This window comes from Homo sapiens, chromosome 20 (genome assembly GCF_000001405.40).
Source record: "Homo sapiens chromosome 20, GRCh38.p14 Primary Assembly".
Lineage (NCBI taxonomy): Eukaryota > Metazoa > Chordata > Mammalia > Primates > Hominidae > Homo > Homo sapiens.
The window spans coordinates 2,983,625-3,007,899 of record NC_000020.11 but is presented as its reverse complement, the minus strand read 5'-3'; the positions used below and the strand labels follow the sequence as shown (position 1 = coordinate 3,007,899).

The following is a 24,275-nucleotide window of genomic DNA, read 5'->3' as shown; positions in this document are numbered from 1 at the left end:
CTCTTCCCTCAGGCCTTGGTTCATATATGGCTAACCAGATAGTCATATATATATATATATACACACACACAGACACACACACACACATATATACATACACACACATATATAATATAGCTGGTGTCATGTCAGGTATTCTTGTCCTGTTCTCCCTTATTTTTACTGTTGAGGGCAAGGCCTGCTTTTGTTTGTAATTAGAATCAGCTCAATAAAGGATTCACTGACTCTTATCACAAAATACATATTTAGACACAGATTTCTACATGGGAAACCATAGGGAATGACGACAGGGTAAATATAGAAAATGATTAAAACTATTTGACTGACCTTAAAAAAAAATTCAGTCACTTAAAAAAACCAGACTTGTCAGGGAAAACATGAAATGACAAATATTTCTCCTAACACACAGCTGGGGAGGAGCCAACAGATAGTGGCAATGGTCAGGCAGGGAAGTGACAGGGAAAGCACCCGATCCTTACGTTGATGAATGAAGCATTGATGTAATCAGAATCTGGAACCCCTTCAACCGGTGTCAGGTGGACTCTAGAGTGGTCATCTAGGAAACAAACCAACAATATTTCAGTAAAATCAAAATTTATTTCTCACAGAACCTGACGCAACCAGGACAGTTGAGACATCTGTGCCTATGTGCACAGACTCACGCTTGTATAAAGATGCCACTCCAACAATATAACTCCAACAGTATAACAGCAAAAAATTGGGAATACCTTAAGTATCATTAGGGGACTAGTTAAATAAATTAAGATGCATCTACAATGTGGAATACTAAGTAGTTGAGAAAAAAGAAAGTTTCTTGACAGATGAACTGACAATATATACTATTAAAAGAGAGAAATGTGTACAGTATACCAATCATATTAAAAAATATGTATTATATATACACATACCCACACCCACACACATACACACATCCCCCTCCTCCAACATGTGCACATAAATAAGAAGACAAGGCCGAGCATGGTGGGTCACGCCTATAATCCTAGCACTTCAGGAGGCAGAGGCGGTGCATCACTTGAGGTCAGGAGTTCCAGACCAGCCTGGCCAACATGGTGAAACTCCGTCTCTACTAAAAATACAAAATTAGCTGGGTGTGGTGGCATGTGCCTATAGGTAGTCCCAGCTACTTGGGAGGCTGAAGCAGGAAAATGGCTTGAACCCAGGAGGTAGAGCCTGCAGTGAGCCAAGATCGTGCCACTGCACTCCAGCCTGGGTGACAGAGCGAGAAAGAAAAAAGAAAAAGACAAAAGTATCTGTAAATGCATAGTGTAGTGGTCCTAATTTTTTGGTTCCATACTTCACTTATAAAAATGTGAGCAGGCATCTCTAATACATGCTCATTTATTGATAAATTATGCACATATGCTAATGTATGATATACCCTGAAATATAAAATTTTTAGGGTCTAGATGTGGTGGCTCATGCACGTAATCCCAATTCTTTGGGAGGTCAAAGTGGGAGGACTGCTTGAGGCCAAGAGTTTGAGACCAGGCTGGGTAACACAGCAAGACCCTGTGTCTAAAAAATAATCAGCCAGGCATGGTAGATGCACCTGTAGTTCTAGTTACTCAGCAGGCTGTGGCAGGAGGATTACTTGAGCCCAGGAATTCGAGGATACATATCTATGATCACATCATTGCACCCCAGCTTGGGTGGCCCTGTCTCTAAAAAAATAAATGAAATAAAAAATTTAAAAGGATGAATTTTTAAAAGGCAAATATACTGGCTGGGCTCACTGGCTCATGCTTGTAATCCCAACACTTGGGAGACCAAAGCAGGAGGACTGTTTGAGGCCAGGAGTTTGAGATCAGCCAAGGCAACACAGCAAGACCATCTCTACAAAAAATTAAAAAAAAAACATTTTCACAGGTTCTGAGGATTAGGAATTTTTTTTTTTTGAAAAGCAAATATAAAAATCAAGTGAGGTTCAAACATCTTCCTCTCATATCTCATTAAATTATGCATATCCCATTCTGGATACCAATGGACTAGAAAAATGTCTGTTAGCTTATGGATCAACTGATTAGCAATGGCTAACTCTGGGAAGGGTTTATACAGAGAACTCTGCATTAGAATTTCTTTCAATGAATACCACAAAAAACCATCTCTACCACCACCATTACCCCCTGCTTCCTGCCTGATCCTAGTGAAGCTGTTCTCCAGGACCTCCTAGAAACTTTAGGCCTGACACAAAAATCCTCCTGGATCATCCTAATTGACTCTGAGTATGTGGGATCCATAAAGGCTCTTTCAGCCCAAAGTCTTCAACCTACTCTTATTTATTTATCTTATTTATTATTATTTATTTCATTTCTTTTACTTTATTTTTTTGAGACACGGTCTTGCCCTGTCACCCAGGCTAGAATGCAGTGACACGATCTTGGGTCACTGCAACCTCTGCCCCCCTGGGCTCAAGGGATCCTCCTACCTCAGCCTCCTGAGTAGCTGGGACGACAGACACACACCACCATGCCTGGCTAATTTTTTAAGGTTTTTGTAGAGATGAGGTCTCACTATATTGCCCAGGCTAGTTTCAAACTCCTGGGCTCAAGAGATTCTCCCACCTTGGCCTTCCAAAGTTCTGGGATTACAGGTATGAGCCACTGAGTACTGCCATGAACGCACTCTTGTTATTCACCCTGCTGTGCCCAATTGCAAGATTCTTTCCATCTTCAGAAAATCCCTCCAGAGATGTAATTTCAGGTTACATCCCAAGAAACACTAAAGACACTCACAAGGCAAGATGTTTACATATCGATTTTTTTCCTTGTTTTCCTCCTTGGAAGCAGCCTCACAGGTGGCCTGGATAGGACATGCAGGGAGAGCCTGAAAGGTTAAGAGAAATTAGAGGAATTATTAGCAGGGATAAACATCAAACATGCAAACTGCTGCACCAAACCCTGACCTGGTAGCATGTTCTACCTTTTCCTGGGGGGAAAAACATGGGCCCAGGTGAATACCTGCAGCCTAACACAGAGAATGCTCCTCTCCCCCGAAACAGCCACAAGCTCCTTAGAGTTCAACAACACAAGAATCCTCAGGGGGCAGAATGCCCTTTCTGTTATGTAAGTATAGCATGCTCTTTCCATGATTACTATGTGGTTAGCAGCCTGTTGTTATGATACTGGGCCAAAAGGGCCTACCCTTGTAAATTGGAATGGGGACATACCTGAAGGAATGGGCCATTTATCCTCATGCTAATTACCACCACACAAAGATGACATGCATCTCAGAGTGAACCACACAGGAAGGTTCTGGATGGCCAGCTGATTTAATCTCTTCCTAGGGATCTAAGGGGGCATGGCACCCCAGCCTCTAGCATCATGTGGCAAGGAAGCAAGGACTGGTGGGTGGGTGGGAGGGCATTCATATAGATGCAGCAGTTAAGAAGCAGAAGATTTGGGTGAGGTGACATTAAATTTGCAGCAGTTCTGGAGCAAATGTAGATTAGTTAGTGCAGGGAGGTTATCACACAATGATCTGACATGAGATAGTCTGTGTTTGTATGAACTTGAGCACATCTGTTAAAATTTCTAGGTCCAGTTTCCTCATCTGTAAAATTGGGGCCGGGTGAAGTGGCTCACGCCTGTAATCCCAGCACTTTGGGAGGCTGAGGCGGGTGGATCACCTGAGGTCAGGAGTTCGAGACCAGCCTGGCTAACAAGGCGAAACCCTGTCTCTACTAAAAAGACAACAATTAGCTGGGTATGGTGGTGCACACCTGTAACCCCAGCTACTCAGGAGGCTGAGGCAGGAGAATCGCTTGAACCTGGGAGGTGGAGGTTGCAGTGAGCCAAGATCACGCCATTGTACTCCAGCCTAGGCGACAGAGCGAGACTCCGTCTCAAAAATAAATAATAAATAAATACATAAAATTGGAACAACAACATCTGCCACATAAGGAAATAATCTCATGTGTAGCAAAGAATAAGTATTCAAATAAATGAGTTTTATCAGAGTGGGAAGCTAAATTTTATTATTTGATCTGTTCTCCTCTTGTATGTTTCATATATTCAAAATTAAGGATGAAAAAAGGAGCTGGGTGTGGTGGCTCATGCCTGTAATCCCAGCACTTTGGGAGGTAGAGGTGGGAGGACTACTTGAGGCCAGAAGTTTGAGACCAGCCTGGGCAACACAGCAAGACCTCGTCTCTACATTAAAAAAAAAAAAAAAAAAAAAAATAGCCAGGTATGGTGGTGCATGCCTGTAGTCCCAGCTACTCAGAAGGCTGAGGTGGGAGGAACACTTCAGCCCAGGAGTTCAAGGCCATGATTATACCACTGCACTCCAGCCTGAGTGACACAGTGAGACTCTGACACTATAAAAACAAACAAGAAAGCAAAAAGGGAGGCACTTTAAAATTCCAACACTAATTCCGAGTAAGTGACTTGGAAATTACATTTTATGAGCCTTAAAAAAACTTTTCAAAAATACTTTTTGGCCTAGCAACTTCAATTTTGAGAACATACCCTTAGGAAATAAAAATCTTTATGTCCTAATTATTTACTTCATCATTATTTAGAATGACCCAAAACTGAGAACAACCGTAGTATTCAGCAGTAGAGGAACAATTCATGCATTACTTTTCATTCATTCTTTCAACAAATATATATTTTGTACCTACCAGGCACTGGGCTAGATACAGAGCAAAGAGTGGGGAATCAAATATAAGTGCAGTTCTCGCCCTCAAGGACAATATAAACTTGTGGGTGAAAAGCAGACATTAAACAAATAAAACAAATACATATATAATTATATACCATGATGAATGCAATCAAAGAACAGAATGCTACTAGAGATGAAGTATCAGAAAGCACCAAATTTGGATTACAGGTGGGTCTCTCTGAGGAAGGATGAGTATAGAAAATAGTATTCCAGACACAGAGAACAGCATCTGTGGTAACCCAGAGGTGGAAGAAGGCTTGGTTGTGTGAGGAACCGAAAATCAGTGCAGGTATCACGCAGAAGGTGAGGTTGATGGGGATGGCAGGAGGAAGTAGGAAGAGATGAGCCTGGCAAAGTCAGATCATCCATTTCCAGGTAGGTCCTTGAATAGGGAGTTCAAATTTTATGTTAAGTGCATAAGGAAATCATTGAAGGTTTTTAAAGTGTGATCCATTTTCCATGTTAAAGAATTACTTGTTATTGTATGGAAAATGGACTAGAGAGGAGCAAGAAGAGAAGCATGGAAAAATGATGATACAAGGAAATGGATGCATTTGAGACATATTCTGGAATTAGAATTACTACATTTGGGCCAGGCGCGGTGGCTCACGCCTGTAATCCCAGCACTTTGGGAGGCCGAGGCGGGTGGATCATTTGAGGTCTGGTGTTCGAGACCAGCTGACCAACATGGTGAAACCCCATCTCTACTAAAAATACAAAAAATTAGCCAGGTATGGTGGCACATGCCTGTAACCCCAGCTACTTGGGAGGCTGAGGTAGGAGAACTGCTTGAACCCGGGAGATGGAGGTTGCAGTGAGCCAAGACTGCGCCATTGCACTCCAGCCTGGGCAGAAAGAGCAAAACTCTGTCTCAAAAAAAAAAAAAAAAAAAAATTACTACATTTGGAGATGGAATGAAGGCAAAAGTGGACTGGGAAGAGCAAGAGGCAGAAATGAAGAATGAACGTTTCTGTCTTTGATAATAATTTAAAAAAAGACTGAATAAAGGAAATGCCAACCCAAAGGGAACCAATTTTTTGTCAGATGGAAGCAAGAGTTTTTTGTTGTTTTTTTTTGGAGACAGGGTCTCGCTCTGTCACCCAGGCTGGAGTGCAGTGGCGCCATCATAGCTCATTGCAGCCTTGAACTCCTGGGCTGGAGGTATCCTACTGCCTCAGCCTCCTGAGTAACTGGGACTACAGGCACAGCACCACCATGCCTGGCTAATTTTTTAATTTTTATTTTTGTAGAGGTGGATCTTGCTATGTTGCCCAGGCTGGGAAGCAAGAGCTTTAAGAAAGGAGCAAATATATTTACTGGAAACCAGCATGACAGTGATAGGAGAAATTAAAGTGAAAGACCCAAAGATAGGGAAATTAGGACCTCAAAATCCATCTGCCCTCACCTACTCAAGAGATTTCCTTTCAGATTAAAACCCTGGAGGTTCTGCATGTTATTTTACTAACAGAGGCAATTACCCCTGACCCTATGCTGTGAATACCACAAAAGGAAGAAAAGATTTTCCTGGGCTGGACTCTTACACACGCAGTAGAGACCATTATTTTAGATCAGAATTTCTCAGTTCACCCACAGTTTGCATTCTCTTCCTTCACATAAGATTTCCACAGGTTTCCACCCAAGTACAGGGCAGGATGAGATGTCAGTTTTTTAAGCCCTGATGGCTAATCCAGAGGCACTAGTTTTCCTGTGCATCCCTTCTCTAAAATGTAGAACAGACGTAGGGACAGCAAGACTCTTGAAAACAGTCTTCAATACAAAAATGTCAGGAATAACAAAGACTACATCTCACAGCCCTATCAGCATCCCTAGCTCCCTCAGTCATGATAAAGAAAAACTAGGTCTCCAGGTGGACTAAGGCTCCTAAAAAGAGTCAGGAAGAAACAGGAGCCATTGTTTAACAAGAGAGAAGAAAGGGCTTGCCCTGGAGAACACAGCGCTAGATGCAAAGGTTCAGAATGAAGAGCCTGCGTCACGGATGAAAACAAGGTGAATCCTACTCCTTTTGGTTTCTACTCTGAAAAACCTAGCTCACAGAGCTAGGAAGGAGCAGCTAGAGCAGAAGTCTATAAAATGTTAAACTCTCTAGAAACACTAGGTGGCATCGAAGACCGTTTCATCTCTTGTTTAAGCCTTAACTGGAACCAAGGCTAAGTACTCATTCATTTTTTAAAGACATGTCGGTTAAAAAAAAATTTTTTTTTCACATTTGTTGATATTTATTTTTTAAAAAGTATCCATCACATAATTTAACTTAGAAGCTCTCTTTGGGCTCCTCTCCTTATATCCTCTTCCTTCCCCTCTCACTGGTAAACCTGAAGTTTTATAATTATCATTACATTCCTTTATTTGTATCTCATATTTTTTACATCCAAAACAATGTATTATTATTGCTAGTCTAGTTTTTGAGGAAAATGGAATCATGATTAAGTGGTGAGTTGCTTTTTTCTTTGGCTCAACATTACGTTCCTAAGATTCATCCTGGCTGCTAACTTCAGCTACTTTGTAGTGCTCCATTTGAGACGGTGTTAAAATTTACTTATCCATTCTACTACTGATGAATATTTGGGTTGTTTACAGTTAAAGGTCCTGCTTTGAGACACATTTTTGTATCTTTCTTGTGCATATGTGCAAGAATTTCAGGTATAGGTATCTTTAACCTTACCAGATAAGGCCAAATTGTTTTTCAAAGAAGTTGTACTAATTTATACTCCCACCAGCAATGTAGTGTTCCAGTTCCGTATGCTTATCAACATTTGCTACTGTCAGACTTTGTGTTAACTGATTTACATTTCTCTGATTATTAATGAGGTTCATCATCTTTCCATAGCATACTGGTCAAAAGAGTTTCCTCTTCCGTGAAGTACCTAGTCAAGTGGTTTCCCCGTTGTCCTACTGGATTATTTTTTTCAAAATGGAGTCTTGTTCTGTCACCCAGACTGGAGTGCAGTGGCGCAATCTTGGCTCACTGCAGCCTCCACCTCCTGTGTTCAAGCAATTCTCCTTCCTCAGCCTCCCCTGTAGCTGGGATTACAGGCGCCCGCCACCACACCTGGCTAATTTTTTTTGTATTTTTTTGTAGAGACAGGGTCTCACCGTGTTGGCCAGGCTGGTCTCGAACTCCTGACCTTGTGATCCGCCTACCTCAGCCTCCCAAAGTGCTGGGATTACAGGCATGAACCACTGCGCCCAGCCTACTTATTTTCTTAACAATTTGTAGAAGTTCTTTATATATTCTGGATACTCTTCCTTTATCAGTTACCTGTGTTATCTTTTACCAAGGTTGTGGCCTTCCCTTTCATCTTCTTTATGGTATCATTTATGAACAGAGGTTTTGCATTTTCATGTAAATTCATCAATCTTCCCTTTTATCAACATTTTAAGTCTTAAGAAATCCTTTCCTACTGTGAGATCAGAAGTATATTTTACTACATTATGATCTCTACATTTTATCATTTTTGTCCTTTAAATTTCAGTGTTTACAGCAACTGGAATTGGTTTTTGTGTTTGATATGTGACAAGCATTCAATTTCATTTATTCCCACAGGGTTACCAATGGTCCCAGGCACTATTTATTGTGAAGACCATCTTTTCCCCACCCAAACTGCAAGAGCATTTCTGTCATAAATAGGTTTCCACTTACAAATGGATCTGCTTCTGGGCTCTTTATTTCATTCCACTGGTCGATCTGTCTATCCCAGTGCCAATACAAAACTGTCTTAATTACTAAAATTTTATAATCTCTTTATATCTGGTAAGGCAGGTCTCCTCACCTTGTTCTTCTTCTTCAGGAATGTCTTGGCTATTCTTGAATCTTTTCTCCTCCATATAAATTTTAGAATCAGCTTGTCAAGTTCCACAAAAAAACCTGTTGGGATTTTTATTGGAATTGCATTGAATCTATATATCTTGGGGGAGAATTGACATCTTTACAAAATTGAGCCTCCTAATCCATTGATCCTATCTCTTCACTAATTTAAGCTATTTTCCTTTAATGTCTTCAAACATTTTAATAATTTTCTCTAAATTGTTAAATCCATTCCTAGGTACTTTACATTTGGATGCTATTGTAATTGGCACCTTTTAAAAGGTATTATTAGGTTTTCTGTTTGTGGCCTATGTATAGAAATGCATTAAATTTTTATGCTGCTTCTGTATCTAGCAACCTTGCTAATTCCATAATATGTCTGATGAATATTAATTCTATAATATGTCATATTAATTCTATAATGTCATATTTATTAATTATAAATATGTCATATATAATAAATTATAAATATGTCATATTTATTAATTCTATAATATAATATGTCATATTAATTCTATAATATGTCTGATGAATCTGTGGGTTTTTCTGAAGACAGTATTTGGTCTGTGAAAAATTTATATTTTGTCCCTTCCTTTGCAATCCTTATACCTTTCTTTTCTTGCCTAGATCTCCAGTACAGGTCTGAATCTCATTCACTTTTAAGTCTGAATCTCCTTTCAATACTCTCACCCAATAGTCACCAGTGACTGAACACTAGAGTGATGGGAAATTTACTACCTTCCAAGGTAGGTCTTGGAACAGTTCTGTTTAAAACGACCCAACACCCAGACACACAATTTCTTTTGCATTTCCCTCGTACTAAGCAATGTAAAACCCAGATGTCAGCGGGCATCTTTTCTGCCCCTTGCAAAACGCAAACTCCCAACTCTCTGGACAGTGGAATTCCAAAGCCCTTGTCACAGTTCCTGCTAATTCCCACAGGACTGTGACTCTGATTCACTTATTTTGGGACAACTCATCAATGTAGAGGCGATTTCACCCATCTCAACTCAGATGCCACACTCAGTCCCATCACTAGTGACACACACATGCCTTCTTCACCTGGCAATCTAAGAGATGTGAGGTCCTGAGGAAGGTCACATCTCACATCGCACAGATTCTGACTATTTCACTGGCTTCACCTCTTTCCCTCTTTTCTTTCTCTCCTATCCCATTCCTCTCAGGAGCTAAGCCTTTTTTTTTTTTTTTTTTTGAGACAGAGTCTCACTCTGGTAGCCAGGAGGCTGGAGGGCAGTGCGGTGATCACTGTAGCTCACTGTAGCTCCTGCAGCTCTATAAAGTTAGCACTATAGCTCACACTGTAGCCTCCAAGTGTTGGGCTCAAATGATTCTCCCACCTCAGCCCCCTGAGTAGCTAGAACTACAGGCATGTGCCATCACGCCTGGCTAATTAAAAAAAATTGTTTTGTAGAGATAAGGTCTTGCTACATTGCCTAGGCTGGTCTTAAACTCCTGGCCTCAATCTTCCCGCATTGGCTTCCCAAAGTGCTAGATTACAGGCATGAACAACTGCACCCAGCCAGAAGCTAACACAATTTTATCTTTTTGTTTCTTTTTAAACCTTGATAATGCCTTAAAGACCTCAATTTTCCCTGAAAATGGGGGCTTCTGAGTGGTTTTTCAAAGTATTTCTTTTGAATAAATTCAATGATTCCTAGAAAGACAAATGCTGGTGAACAAAAAAGCTCCAGCTTGTAATTAGGATGAAAGCCACAGCCTAGAACTTCTAATCAGGTGGGCATTCACGGAAATGCTACAGTCTCCTTTTAGCCTGTCACATATCTGAAAACAGCTGTCATGTCCTATGAGTGTTGTTCCTTTAGTTATTCACCCCCATGGTCCAGTTTCTCTCCAGAACAACATCCCATTTGGTGATATCCCTTTTTATAGAGACCTGACCACAAGACTCCTGACACAGTTCAAACTAGGCATAGGAACTTCTTTATTCTAGATGTTATATATCCATCGAAGCAAACTAAGTCCATTAGATTTATTTCCCATATTCAAAAAAATCTGCTTTAAAAATATTATAAAAAGAATATGCTTGTTTTAAGTCAAATAATTTAGTAGAAAACAAAGTTCCCTATTATGTCTCTCCTCTCTTCCAGCCCCCTTGTAGGCAGCCACTGTTGACAATTTGTAGTCTTTCAGACTTAAAAAAAAAAGCATTAACATACCCAAACACACACAGATATACATATTTTTGAAAACAAAAATGAAATTATCCCACATATGTTTTCTCACATAACAATATAACTTAGAGATCTATGTGAACACATTTATTTTAATGATAGTATAGAATATCATAATGGATATAAGAAATCATCTGGCCATTCTATTTGACAGATATTTGCGTTTTTATCTTCTTTGCTATTATAAATAATGCTGTCATAAACATCTTTGTACATGGCTTTTTCTGTTAAGAATCTCAGAAGCTTGGTCAGAAAACTCAAACATTTAAATAATGATTGGTACTGCCAGAATCATCCCTCCAATGCAATACCAATTTAAACTCCCCCACCTGTAAGTCTCTGCAGCCCCATACTTTTGTCCACATTTGATATAAAGCTTTTTAAATTTTCAAATCTGATAGGTCCAAAATAATGGTTAGCTTTAATCTGTATTTCCCTGATTACTAGATATAGTTGATCTTCTTTTCATATCTTTATAGACCATCTGTATTTCTTCTGTAAATTGCCAGTTTCTTGACTGGATTGTTTACCTTTTACTCACAGGTTTGTATATTCTGGAACATTCTTTGTCTACCTATGGCAAATAGATTCTCCCAGTTGGCCACTTTTTTACGACATCATTTGTCACAAAGATGTTTCACATTTTAATATATTTGCTATCTTTCAAACTTTTCCATTCTGGCATCTAAATCTTCTAAGTAGCTTAGAAAGGCCTTCCCCATCTGATGGTTACTAAAAATATTATTCTATGACAGTAGACACAAATTGGTTTGTTTGCCCTATGTGTTATTTCTCCTCTTCTCTCCCAGGGCTGACTGATCCAAACACAGTCATACCTGACTGATACTGAGCCAATCAGATTCTCTCCCAGGATTTTGAAAACTAGGAAGAAGCAGGGGCTTCCCTAGAAGGGCCCCAAAGCCACCAAGGTCGGCTCTACCTGAGACTTGGTACTCCAACTTACCTTCTGATTCTGCCAGCTCCTCCAGTGTCTTCCCAAATCAATAGTTCTGTTTGTTTTTGCTTAATTTAGTTGAGGTGACTTCTCTTGCTTTTAACTAGAGGACCTTAACTGATTTAGCAATTACTATCAGAGTGGGTTGTAGTTGAGAGACTGCTAGGGGAAACGTGGGTGATGTTACTGGGTTCAGATGGAAGGAAAGAAACTGACAACCAATTGCCAGGATGGGAAAGAGCAAGCTGCTCACAGTTCATAGCTGCACAACTACTATTTTAGTTATTGCTTGCAATTACCTGTGATGTGTTCAAGCTGGTGGTAAACGAGTAGGGGTGTCCCAATTAAAAGGAGAGGGGAAATGTTGAAACCAAGGAGTAGGATTACTTCTGACAATATTAGAGAACAAAACAAGAAATAACCCAGCTCCAATATCAAATGCTCACCTTGAAATGAAAACCCAAGACTCAGGGCCTTTACATTACTATATATGTATTTTGCTAAGTGAAATGTTAAGGTTTCCAAATTTTGCGAGTTGCTGAATTTTAATGCCACAGAATTCACATCTTTCCTGGGTTGCTCATGAGAAAGATAAGGCTTTAAGTGAGACAACAGAAATGATGATAAAAGAGAGGACCCAAAGAAAGTTAATTTCCAAAAATCTCTATTATGCTCTCTACTGCATCTTGCTGTCATGATGAAAACTGCCCCACAACCCAGCCTGCATTGCCCACACATTACCAGAATGCAAGCATAACATGACCTGAGGGTAAAATGCATAAATAAGGTAGAAAAGTAAAATGCTGGCCAGGCACAGTAGCTCATGCCTGTAATCCCAGCACTCTGGGAGACCAAGGTGGGAGGACTGCTTGAGATCAGGAGTTCAAGACCAGCCTGGGCAACACAACAAGACCCCGTCTCTACAGCGGGGGAAAAAAAGTAAAGAGCTAATAAATATCCAGAAGAAACTACAGGAATTCACTGAGCTGGATCATTACAAATGATAGGAACAATTGTTGATATAGATTTTGGAGACGTTATAACAAGGAAGGGAGAGTATGACTTGGTTAAAGCCAAATTTCTTTTCTTTTTTGAGATGGAGTCTTGTTCTGTCCCCCAGGCTGGAGAGCAGTGGTGCAATCTTGGCTCACTGCAACCTCTGCCTCCCGGGTTCAAGCGATTCTCCTGCCTCAGCCTCCCGAGTAGCTGGGATTACAGGCACTCACCACCATGCCCGGCTAATTTTTGTATTTTTAGTAGAGACAGGGTTTCAGCATGTTGGTCAGGCTGGTCTCAAACTCCTGACCTCAAGTGATCTGCCTGCCTCAGCCTCCCAAAGTTCTGGGATTACAGGCATGAGCCATTGTGCCCAGCCTGGATAAAGCCAAATTTCTAATTATGGTATGGTCAAAAGAACTTCTGCAGGTAGTGTAACAGCTCAGGTAACTGGCCATGGTTTTAATGTTGAGCTAGGCTCGCCAGTGGAAACCTGGACTGAATGCTGGATTTAGTGAGGTGATAATGAAAAGCCAGAAAAACCTGGGCACAAAGTAGAGGAGACCAGAGTGGCATATGGACTCTAAAGGCTCAGCCTTCTACTGACACCTTCAGTATGCCCTTGATGGGATCCACATCACATGCCTTGCTGAGGCTATACACTGGTGAGGAAAGCACTGGAATCTTTCAGAAGTGCTTTCCTGGCTGTCCTCAGCAGCGTGAGATGCTAGTGGAAGGGACTATTTCAAAATGGGATTCCTGATCTAAGTGGGCTAGAAAGACTGTTGGAGACCATGATCAGACGTTTATGGCTGTGAATAATTCATTGTGAAGCTCCCAGTAATGGAAACGGAAAGTAGCTTTCCAGGTCAGTTTAGGCAGCCTACTAGACCACCATGCTAGAGAGGGGGCCCCCTCATCCAACTCGTAGGCCTGGGTCATTTCAGACCCAGAACCCTTCAATAACAGGGAGGCCAGGCATCTGTAAGGAGGAACCCTGCCACAGCGCATTAACACACATATATTATAAACCTCCCTCCTCATCTTTTCTTAATAATCTGCAGATATTTGCCATGGCAACTGTACTAGGTAAAGGGAAATGCATCTTTTGGGGTCTGCTAGGTCCTGGCCTTGAGGTAGCTACTTGCTAGGAACTCAGAATGTCGCTAAGATATGCTAGTTAGAACGGAGCCTTTGCAGGCCAGCTGATGGAAGGAATTTTGGCCTGAGGTGGCTTCACATTAGGACCTATTAATCTATCTAATCTATCTTACCTGTCTGTCGATCTGTCTGTCTGCCTGCCTGCCTGTCTGTCAGGGCCTCCAAAAGGGAGGGAAAGAAACTAGATGCTCCCGGCTCTGTGAAGTTGGCTAGACCTCCCTCTGTGCCACCTTGATTTTCAATAACATTGGCCATTAGGTAATGCCCAAAGACACACAGATTCCCTAGCCCACTGGATAAGAACCATCACAGAAAGAGCAAATGTAAGCTCCTAGAGCAGTGATCTCTTTAGCAAAAGGCGAAGTCTCCATGTGAACCGCAGGATCTTAAGTGCTACAGAAGACTTTGCAGATTTGCAGTTACTTTTCCAGACGTACTCTACTTTCTGCAGATTAACATATAACTCCTGGTACCTAGACTACTGCTAGGGGTAAGTGTGTGTTCTTTTTAAGTTGTGTGGACTACTTGAAGCAGTTTTTCTTGCTCATGGCAAGAGCAGCCTCAGTGATAAATCATCTTGACCTTTCTGTGTTGTGATCTGGTTCATCAAGATTTTGTCTGTTTCACAGGACATTACCTTGACAACTATGCTAATGACATCAATGTGAGACATGAAAAGCAGGAAGTTATGTATCTTAGATGTACATGTCAGACATAAAAATACAGTGGCCTGCCACCTCAGCCAAATTTTCTGAAAGTCAAAGGCCTGCAGCACGTCAGGGTATCTCCTCCAACATAAAAGACAACTTGTTGCCCCTTGCCCCACCACCCCTCTCCTGCTAACAAAGAGGAGCAATGCTTGCTGGGCCATTTTGAGTTTTGGAGACAGCAGATACCTTATCCTTGCATCCAACTCTGATCTCTCAATTTAATCCATCTAATCCATCTGATCAATCAATCAATCTACCTACCTACCTACATAGAGACAAGATCTTGCTCTGTCACACAGGCTGCAGTGCAGTGGTGCAATCACAGCTCACTGCAGCCTCAAACTCCTAGGCTCAAGCAATACCCCACCTCAGCCTCCCCAGTAGCTGGAACTACGGGTGCATACCACCATGCCCAGCTAATTTTTTGAAGAGGCAGGCTTTCGCCATGTTGCCCAGGCTGGTCTTGAGCTCCTGGACTCAAAGCAATCTGCCTGCCTCATCTCCCAAAGTGCGAGGATTAAAGGCATGAGCCACTGTGCCCAGCCTCTGACCAATTTATTGAGTGATCTGAAAAGAGAAAGTGCTCCTGCTGATCCAGGCCACAGAGAAATAAGCTCTGGTAGATTGTATGGAGCTCTAGAGTGTTTGTAGTAAGGTAAACAGAAGAATCGTAATATTTGGATATGGATATAAGACCATGATCCTATTGGTAAGACCATGCTCCTAGCCTAGTACTGGGCTCTAGGGTAGAGACTGCAAGCCTGATCACAGACAGGTATCCAAATGACTTCAACTCCCCATCGTAAACTAGGGGTTTTTTTGTTTGTTTTGTTTTTTTGAGATGGAGTTTCGCTCTTGTCGCCCAGGCTACAGTGCAATGGCGTGGTCTCGGCTCAATGCAACCTCTGCCTCCCGGGTTCAAGCGATTCTCCTGCCTCAACCTCCCGAGTAGCTGGGATTACAGGCATTTGCCACCATGCCTGGCTAATTTTTGTATTTTTAGTAGAGACGGGGTTTCACCATGTTGGCCAGGCTGGTCTTGAACTTCTGACCTCAGGTGATCTGTCCAACTCAGCCTCTCAAAGTGCAGGGATTACAGGCATGAGCCACCGGGCCGGTCTCGTAAACTAGGTATTATGAGATTCAATTAGCCATAGATTTGGACATGCCCAGCAGAATCCCATTATCAGCTGGAAGTGATCTCTATAAAATGCCTACCACACAACCCACTGCCGCAATAGATACTTCTGACTTCCTATTGACATCAACAGTTAACTGAAGAAGAAAAAGTCCGGCCTGGTATATAAACTGCTTGGTGAAACATGCTGGCCCATGCTGGGCTGGAAGTAGACTGCTATGGGGTATACTACTTAAGTGATGGCTTTGAATGTGTATAAAAGAGAAATTCTCCTAGTGAAGAGAACTTCAAGCAAATTATCACACCACTTATCTCACTGGAAGTCAGGATCTAAACCAATCGCTGGGTAGTGGATAACTAGCACAAGAAAGAAAATATTTATGTTCCATGTGAATGCTCACAAGATGGCACTCATTGCTAGAAACCCAGGTGATGATGGTCAGCCCTTTCCCTCACTACCCTAGTGCTGGCCCAATGAGCTCGTGAACACGGTTGCCATGGTAGCACAGCAAATGGCTCTCACCACAATATCTATCCGAATTTACCTGTCATGCCTCCAGGAATACCATCACCATCCAGGGATTTACTGAAATACCTTACCATGGAGTCTCAGGGAATATTACCTCCAAACAAATAATTCGTTTCATGCTTATGTAAATTTAATGTTATGGAAAAAGAAAAGAACTAATTTGTCAGAAAAAAAGTATAGTAATGGGATCACATACCCCATCACCCAGAAGCAGTTGGCATTATAGATTACAAAACAGTACAATGCCTAGCACAGATCCAGCTATGGTACTGAGGCTGGAGTGCTGTCTTGTGAGATGTGGTAAATTTTTTTTTTTTTTTTTTGAGATGGAGTTTCACTCTTGTCGCCCAGGCTGGAGTGCAATGGCACGACCTTGGCTCACTGCAACCTCCGCCTCCCAGGTTCAAGCAATTCTCCTGCCTCAGCCTCAGACTTCCAAGTAGCTGGGATTACAGGCACGTGCCACCACGCCTGGCTAATTTTTGTATTTTTAGTAGAGATGGGATGGGATTGCCCCATGTTAGCCAGGCTAGTCTTGAACTCCTGGCTTCAGGTGATCTGCCTGGCTTGGCCTCCCAAAGTGCTGGGATTACAGGTGTGAGCCACTGTGCCTGGCAGGATGTGGTAAATCTTATCAATCAATAATGAACATTAAATGGTGCTATTTTTCCAATAGCCCCCAAAAAGGGTCCAAGCTATTCTGTTAACTCTTGCCTGGTAAATGGTCTCCCACTTCAACTCTTGCCTCTCCCTTTTATCTATTCTCTATATTGTAGTTAGTTATTTTCTCAAAATGCAAATCTGACATCACTCACCACTCCCCCTAAGCCCTTCTGTCATGGAGCAGATATGAATGGTGACCCACTGACCCAATAACCATTCCTCCTTTACCAGACCTCCTATTCTGTGAGGTTATCCATCCATATCCCACATGAATATCTAAAAAAAATTTTTTCTTGAGACAGGATCTGGCTCTGTTGTCCAGGCTGGGGTGCAGTGGAGTGAATCTGACTCACTGCAACCTCCACCCCGCAGGCTCAAGCGATACTCCCACCTCATCTCCCAAGTAGCTGAGACTGCAGGCATGTACCACTATGCTCAGCTAATTTTTGTATTTTGTTGTTGTTGTTGTTGTAGAGATGGGGTTTCACCATGTTGCTCAGGCTGGTTTCGAACTCCTGTGATCAAGGCAATCTGCCTGCCTCAGCCTCTCAAAGTGTTGGGATTATAGGTGTGAGCTAGCATGCCTGGCCTTGACCCAGGAGTAATCTGGACTAGTCTCAGCCAACCACAGTAACCTTATTTTCTCCCTTGCTCACGACCGGTTTAAGAAGGAGCATGTGACAAGAGAAGTCTCCAGAAGCTTTTGGGAAAATTTTTCCCACTGATAAAAAAGGAGCCAGCCTATAAGGCAAAGCTGACACATGGCTTAGTGGAAAGTTGTGAAGGAAACTGATGGTTTAGCAATGCCCCAGCTGATGTATTTACCAACTCTGGAACTGCTCCTCTGTGTCCTTAAATCCATCCCCCATTTCCTAGTCATGACATTAGGTCAATCTACTAGCACTTCTGATATTAACACCTGTAACCCCTAACTGTATTCCCGCAACTATTCTGGTCTGCCCATGGGCTATTCTCCTTACAGAAGCCAGAGTCATTTTTTCTTTTTTTTGAGATGGGGTCTCCCTCTGTTGCCCAGGCTGCAGTGCAGTAGCATGATCTCGGCTCACTGCAAGCTCCGCCTCCCGGGTTCTGACCATTCTCCTGCCTCAGCCTCCAGAGTAGCTGCAACTATAGGTGCCCACCACCATGCCCAGCTAATTTTTTGTATTTTTAGTAGAGACAGGGTTTCACTGTGTTAGCCAGGATGGTCTCGATCTCCTGACCTTGTGATCCGCCCGCCTTGGCCTCCCAAAGTGCTGGGATTACAGGCGTGAGCCACCGTGCCCAGCTGAGTCATTTTTTCAAGATGTAAATCTGGCTGCTCTATGGCTTGCCACTTCTCTCATGACTATCTGCAAGGTCTGTGGTCTGGCCACACTAGTTTCACCTCTTATCCTCCTTTGAAGCTCTGGTCTTCAGCTGCACACAGCCCTGTCATGTTCTGGGTGTGCCCTCCTTCAGCACACTCACTCCTGACAATTCTCCTGCTATTTCCAGTGGCTGGAAGGCTCCCCAATCCCCTGTCCCCACCACCCTTGCCTATGATTAGGTATCAATTAAAATATCATTTATTCGAGGAAGCTCTTGTTTTTTTGAGATGGAGTCTCGCTCTGTCGCCAGGTCAGAGTGCAGTGGCGTGACCTTGGCTCACTGCAACCTCCGCCTCCTGGGTTCAAGCGATTCTCCTGCCTCAGCCTCCTGAGTAGCTGGGACTACAGGCACATGCCACCACGCCCAGCTAATTTTTGTATTTTTAGTAGAGACAGGGTTTCACCAAGTCAGCCAGGATGGTCTCTATCTCTTGACCTCGTGATGTGCCCGCCTCAGCCTCCCAAAGTGTTGGGATTACAGGCGTGAGTCACCGTGCTGGCCAGAAGCTCTTCTGATCTGGGATCAGAACTGGTAGGCTAGGATCACCAACTGGTGGATTAAAAACATATTCTGCTTCCTTGTGGGAATTATAAAAAATGTGAATCTAAATACTCAAGATGAGACCTGTGCTCTGCAGTCTCCCATGGTCGTCATTTCCCACACTGATCTATCCCACTGTCTACTTTAAACACTGACACCCCTGCTCTAGACTCAAAAAGGCAACCTCTTAATATGGATGCCTACAAATATGCACCAGTCCTTCATGTGCTGTACTGCTGTTTGAACTTACACAGTTATATTTGTTCTTGTTTGTGAGGTTTCCCTCCTGGACAGTGAGTTCCTTGAGAATAGGGATTGGATCTGTTTCTGCTCCTCATCATATCACTGGCAACTAGAATATTACCTGACAAATATTAGATGCTTGCTAAGTATTTATTAAACAAAAGAAGTAAGAGATGTGATGATGACTGAATGGATGGGTAGATTAGGGAGGTGAGGCAAATCTCACTTCATTTCCTATCCATGATCATACAGGGAGTCAGATAAACTTGGTAAAACATTTCTCACCTCTTAAACATTAAAAGCCCATTTTTTACTTCATGACTCCAAAGATCTGAAAGGTCTGACTTTAGGTCTGCCTTCTTCCCTGCTGATACACCAGCCTCAACAAAGTACTCACGTTGAATTCCTCCCTGAAGAGCTTATTGTCGTCTGCCATTCTCCGGTTAATTTCCTCTTCCAGCTTGTCCACGGGCAGGGGTGGGTATTTCCTGTTGGTGCTTGGGGATCTGGCCAGAAGTGGCACACTCTGGGGCTCTGCAGTACACAAGGGAGAAGGTCAGTCAGGTACCCTGAGAACCTAGCCCCTCTTCTGGAGGCTAAACGGGGTTCTACCTCATGGACCAAGCCTGTAAGAACTAGGACTGTTTTCTTCAAAAATCTTTTTTCCTCTTTTTATTGTCTTATTCTTTTAAAAGGATGGAGAAACTCCTAATTTCTTGATTTCCTTCCTTGTGAAGGTTCCCCATGACATTAAGGAATGCCTTACCCACATCCTCAGTGCGGCCGTTGGATAAGCGGAAAGAATTGGAATGGCTCCCAGCTTGCTTGTATTTCTTAAACCTAATGAGAAAATGATCACAGTGAAGAATGGAGCACAGAGGTGGGAGAGGCAAATCACACCTCTGTATTCCTGCTCATCAATTCAGCCTTTCTAAATCGCCTTTAAAAATAATCGGGCTTTTTTAGAGACAGGTCATGCACACCCTGAGGCAGCAGCATGCTGGGGTGACCGAGTACCTCGGGATACTCCTGTTTACCCTTGGCACACTGGAATCCAACCAGGGAACCCCAACAGTATATTCAGGCTCATGTGGCTCACTGCAGAGCACAGCCACACCAGGTAGAGAGAGGGTGAGTGGGTGGAATACAGCTGGGGGAGACAGACAATATATATCAAACAAAAATCTTGGTATTTCCTCAGTGTAGCCTGGGAGACCCAGGGAGAAGCCCAGAGCTTTGGATTGGGTGGACACAGTCCTGGCCACAAGTCTCCTGCAGAATGATAGAGACACATGACAAATTATAGGGGGCACATGATTCCTCTCTCTTTATCCCTGCAGAAGAACAGAGGGAGCACAGAACATCTTTGGTTAGGCCAAAGATAAGGCAGGGCTAAATCCAATTAGTCAGGGCAGTAGCTTTAGCAGGAAGAGAATAAATGCACCACCCTCTTCTCTCCCTTGGGTTCCCCTTCCTTGCTTCTGCTTGAGTGGTAACGTCTAGAGGACCCTGAAAGAAGGTTAGAAAGAGGGATCCTGTAACTCACAACTCACATGGCTCAACTCAACATGCCAGGGCCAGGGGTCCCAGAAGGGTCTGGGGACAAAGCCCCAGCCAGAAATACAGTAGGCTTTTGTTGAGCATGTAATCTTACTGGGGCCCTTTTAGGGGTTGCTTCAGCAGGGCTAGACCTAGAGATCCTGTAACACCTGTCACTAATAACAAACTGCGGTTTCTTACCTCAACCTCCAAACTACCATTCTGGGCTTTAGCTTGCACTGGAGTTGGGAGACTGGGCTTGGACAGATGGAAGAAAGAGGGAGGGCTTAGGACTTAAGGAAGACTATGTAGAGCTTTTAAATAATTTCTAAGTAGAACTTCAATTTTAGCACTATCATGGGTCATTCCCCCTCTATCCTATTCATTGTGTATATCCTACTGTCTACTGGACTGTGTGGGTTCATTGGGACACTGGGATATTGAAACAGAATCTAAGAGAATGTGAAGTGTTAGTAGGCTCACCTTAACATGTACAAAACTATGATAATAAACACGATCACTAGCAGAGAGGACAGGGCCACCATCACCGCAATAATTGGTGTCTCATCTGAAATCAAGACAACAGAACAAGTCATTACTGTGTTGTGCAATGGAGGGCTTAAGTCAGCCATTCAGGGCAACACCCTGAAGAGGAAGAGCTCATTCAGTCCTTCTGCAGATGCCAGGAAATGGAAACAGAGAAGAAAGTATGAGTGTGCACCTCCCACTGCCATGCCAGGGCTATTGAGGTGAGGTGGGGAGAGAGCATGGGGCCCAGGATGACATGCTCACCCCATCTCTGACTATCATACATTTATTTACTCTGTCTCCCTGCATTAGAATAAAAGCTGTTTAAAGGCAGACACTTTGTTTTACTCACTGCTATATCCTTTGAGCCTAAAACAGTACTTAGCACATAAAAAGCACTGGAATATCTGGAGGCATGAACACATTCAATTCTGATGGCAAGTTAGGTATGCAGGGCCAACACTGTACACTCTCTCAGCCTCAATGGGTTCCATCTAGAGGAAGATGGGAGAGGAAGGGAAAAAGACAGTTTTCCTATCATAAACCCAAATGGTTTCCGGGCACAGAGAATACTGTTCCTAATTAAAACAAGGAGACAAGTAGGGCACAATGGCTCATGCCTGTAATCCTAGCATTTTAGGAGGACAAAGCGGGTGGATTGCTTGAGCCAAGGTATTCGAGACCAGCCTGGCAACAGGGTAAAACTCCATCTCTACTAAAAATTAAAAAAATAGCCGGTGTGGTGATGTGCGCCTATAGTCCCAGCTACTCAGGAGGCTGAGGTAGGAGGATCACTGGAGCTTAGGAGATGGAGATTACAGTGAGCCGGGCCTGTACACTACACTCCACCCTGGGCAACAGAGCAAGACCCTGTCTCAAAACAAACAAACAAACAAACAAACAAACAAACAAACAAACAAGGAGACAGCTGGGTGTGGCGGCTCATGCCTATCCCAGCACTTTGGGAGGCTGAGGTAGAAGGATTGCTTGAGGCCAGGAATTTGAGACCAGCTAAATAAAAATAAAATAAAACAAGGAGACATTATTAGATCCTCAGCCACCATGTAACAAAACTGCTGGTTGCTTCTTTTTTCCTCTTTCCACACCCTGCTCCCTTAGTCACCTTTTGCCAGGACCCCAACCATGGCAACATCTGGTTTGAAGACATGGCAATCCCACCTCATTCCACAGGGCCTGGCTCCCTTTCACCCAATACCTAGCCTTGTTTTCTCATGCAGCTGGCCAGGCACTGACTCATCCGCCTCCACTCTCACCCTCCACCCGACTCCATGAACTACACCATCAGAGTGGCTTGGTAACTATCTTCACCATTTTCCTACCTGCTAAAAGGGAAGACAAGTCTCTTCCATCCTGTCATGTGTGCTCTGGATTACATCCACTGCTGTCAACTCAAAGACTTGTCTTCTTGACCTCATTTACCCTCCCCCAGCTACCACCAGCCTCGCGTCTCTCTTCTCAGCTGACTTTCCGAAACACAGTTGTCTAATTCGTCTTGTCTAATTCCTTACCTTCAGGTTCTCCTTAATCTATTTGCCCTGACTCCCACCCTCAGTGCTCTGTTTAAACTGCTCAGCCAGAACACCAACAAATGGCATATTGCCAAATCCAACAGGAACATTCCCATCCTCATCTGATTCAACCTTTTAGCAGCATTCATTCAAATATCTGTGGGCCAGCAATTGCATGCCATTGTTTGAGACACTAGGAACAGAGAAGTGTTCAAGGAGACAAGTGATAGAAAGCTTCCATTCTGTGGGGAGGAAGGAAGACACTGTTTATAAACAAGTCAATACTTAATTTTAGACAGGGACAAGTGCTATGAGGAATAAAAAGCAGGGTGGGGAGAGAGAAAGTGACAGGTTGGGGAGCAGTGATACAGTGGTCTGGGAAGGTCTCTCTGAGGAAGTAATATACAAGCAGAGCTCTAAATAACGTGAAGTGAACCACGCAAAGATCTGGGTGAAGAGCTTTCTAGACACTGGGAACAGCAAGCATGGTAGCTCTCAGGAGCTTGGCAGGTTCAAGAAACAGCACAAAGGCCAGTTCAATATAAGATGCCAGAGAGGTGGGCAAAAGCCAGCAGACTTAGGACTTGGGAGTCCATTGTAATGATTGTGGATTTAATTCTGAGTGTGATGAGAAACACTATGTCATCGAAGGGCTTTGAACAGAGGAGATATATAACTGGATTTACATTCTGTTAAAAGCTAAACTGACCCATAAGCAGTAGCCATGAGGTGAGAGGTTAATCTAAGAATGTAGTGTCATAGAAGCCAAGAGCAGAGTTTTTCAAGGAGGGAGCAATCAATTCAATCAAATACTGCCTACAGACTTAAGAAGGATGAGACAGAGAAGTGAAACCAGATTTGACAAGACGGTGGCTACTGGTGACCTTTCCAAGAGTATTTTCAGTTGAATATGGGTGAGAAAGCCTAAATGGAGTGAAATAAAGATAGAAAAAGGACAGTGAGACACTGGGTCCTTTCGTGGGGACTTTTAACATTAAGGGATGCAGAGGAAAGGAATGACAGATGGAGGGAGATGTGAGTGAGGTGGACAGATGGGTTTTTTTTGGTTTTGTTTTTAGAGATGGAAGACATTACATGACGCTTCTTTGTTAATGGTAAGTTTCAAACATACTGTGGTATGTGGCTCTCACCTTAAAATGAGTGTTCAGACTGGCTGATCACTCCTTCCTCTCTGAAGCACTTTCCTCTCTTAGCTTTCCACAACGAAACACTCCTCTGATTTTCCTTCTATCTCGTCTGCCCATCTCAGTTTCCCTCACTATCTGTTCCTCTTCCAACACCAGATCTCTAAATGTGGGAATTCCTCAGGGCTCTGTCCTTGGCACTCTTCTCTATATCTAGTTAATCTGATCAGAGAGATGACTGTAAATATAAATGCCATGCTAGCAATTCCCACAGTTGCTTTGCTTGATCAGACCTCTTTTCTGAGTTCCAGATTCTCAACTGCCTATTTGCCACCTCCACTTTAAATTTCATAGGCAACACAAGCTTTCTGTGTTTAAAACCTTTCCCTCACCATTCAGTAGCTAGTACTCCAACCCACCCTGTTGCTCAAGTAAGAAATGTGGAAACCCCCTTGATTTCTTCCTCACACTTATCTTCTATATCTAGCACAGCTGCAAATAATATA

General features: G+C 42.9%; 1 protein-coding gene across 28 annotated transcripts in view; it reads right to left on the bottom strand.

Annotated features, from left to right (window-relative positions):
* Window positions 1-24,275, bottom strand: part of PTPRA (protein tyrosine phosphatase receptor type A) — a 174,486-nt gene that overhangs the window by 30,770 nt on the left and 119,441 nt on the right. For 25 of the 28 annotated variants that reach the window (NR_170936.1, NM_002836.4, NM_001388321.1 and 22 more), the window contains 5 exons: window positions 21,051-21,135; window positions 19,795-19,868; window positions 19,426-19,562; window positions 2,754-2,844; window positions 480-556 (listed from right to left, as the gene is read on the bottom strand). Coding sequence is in view for 24 of the 28 variants with exons in the window: in NM_002836.4 (NP_002827.1) it covers window positions 480-556; window positions 2,754-2,844; window positions 19,426-19,562; window positions 19,795-19,868; window positions 21,051-21,135 (464 nt within the window). In the remaining 4 variants the exon portion in view is untranslated. Of the gene's footprint in view, window positions 1-479; window positions 557-2,753; window positions 2,845-8,474; window positions 8,570-19,425; window positions 19,563-19,794; window positions 19,869-21,050; window positions 21,136-24,275 lie in introns of all 28 variants that reach the window. The other 3 variants (NM_001388324.1, NM_001388323.1, NM_001388322.1) reach the window with 1 other exon arrangement.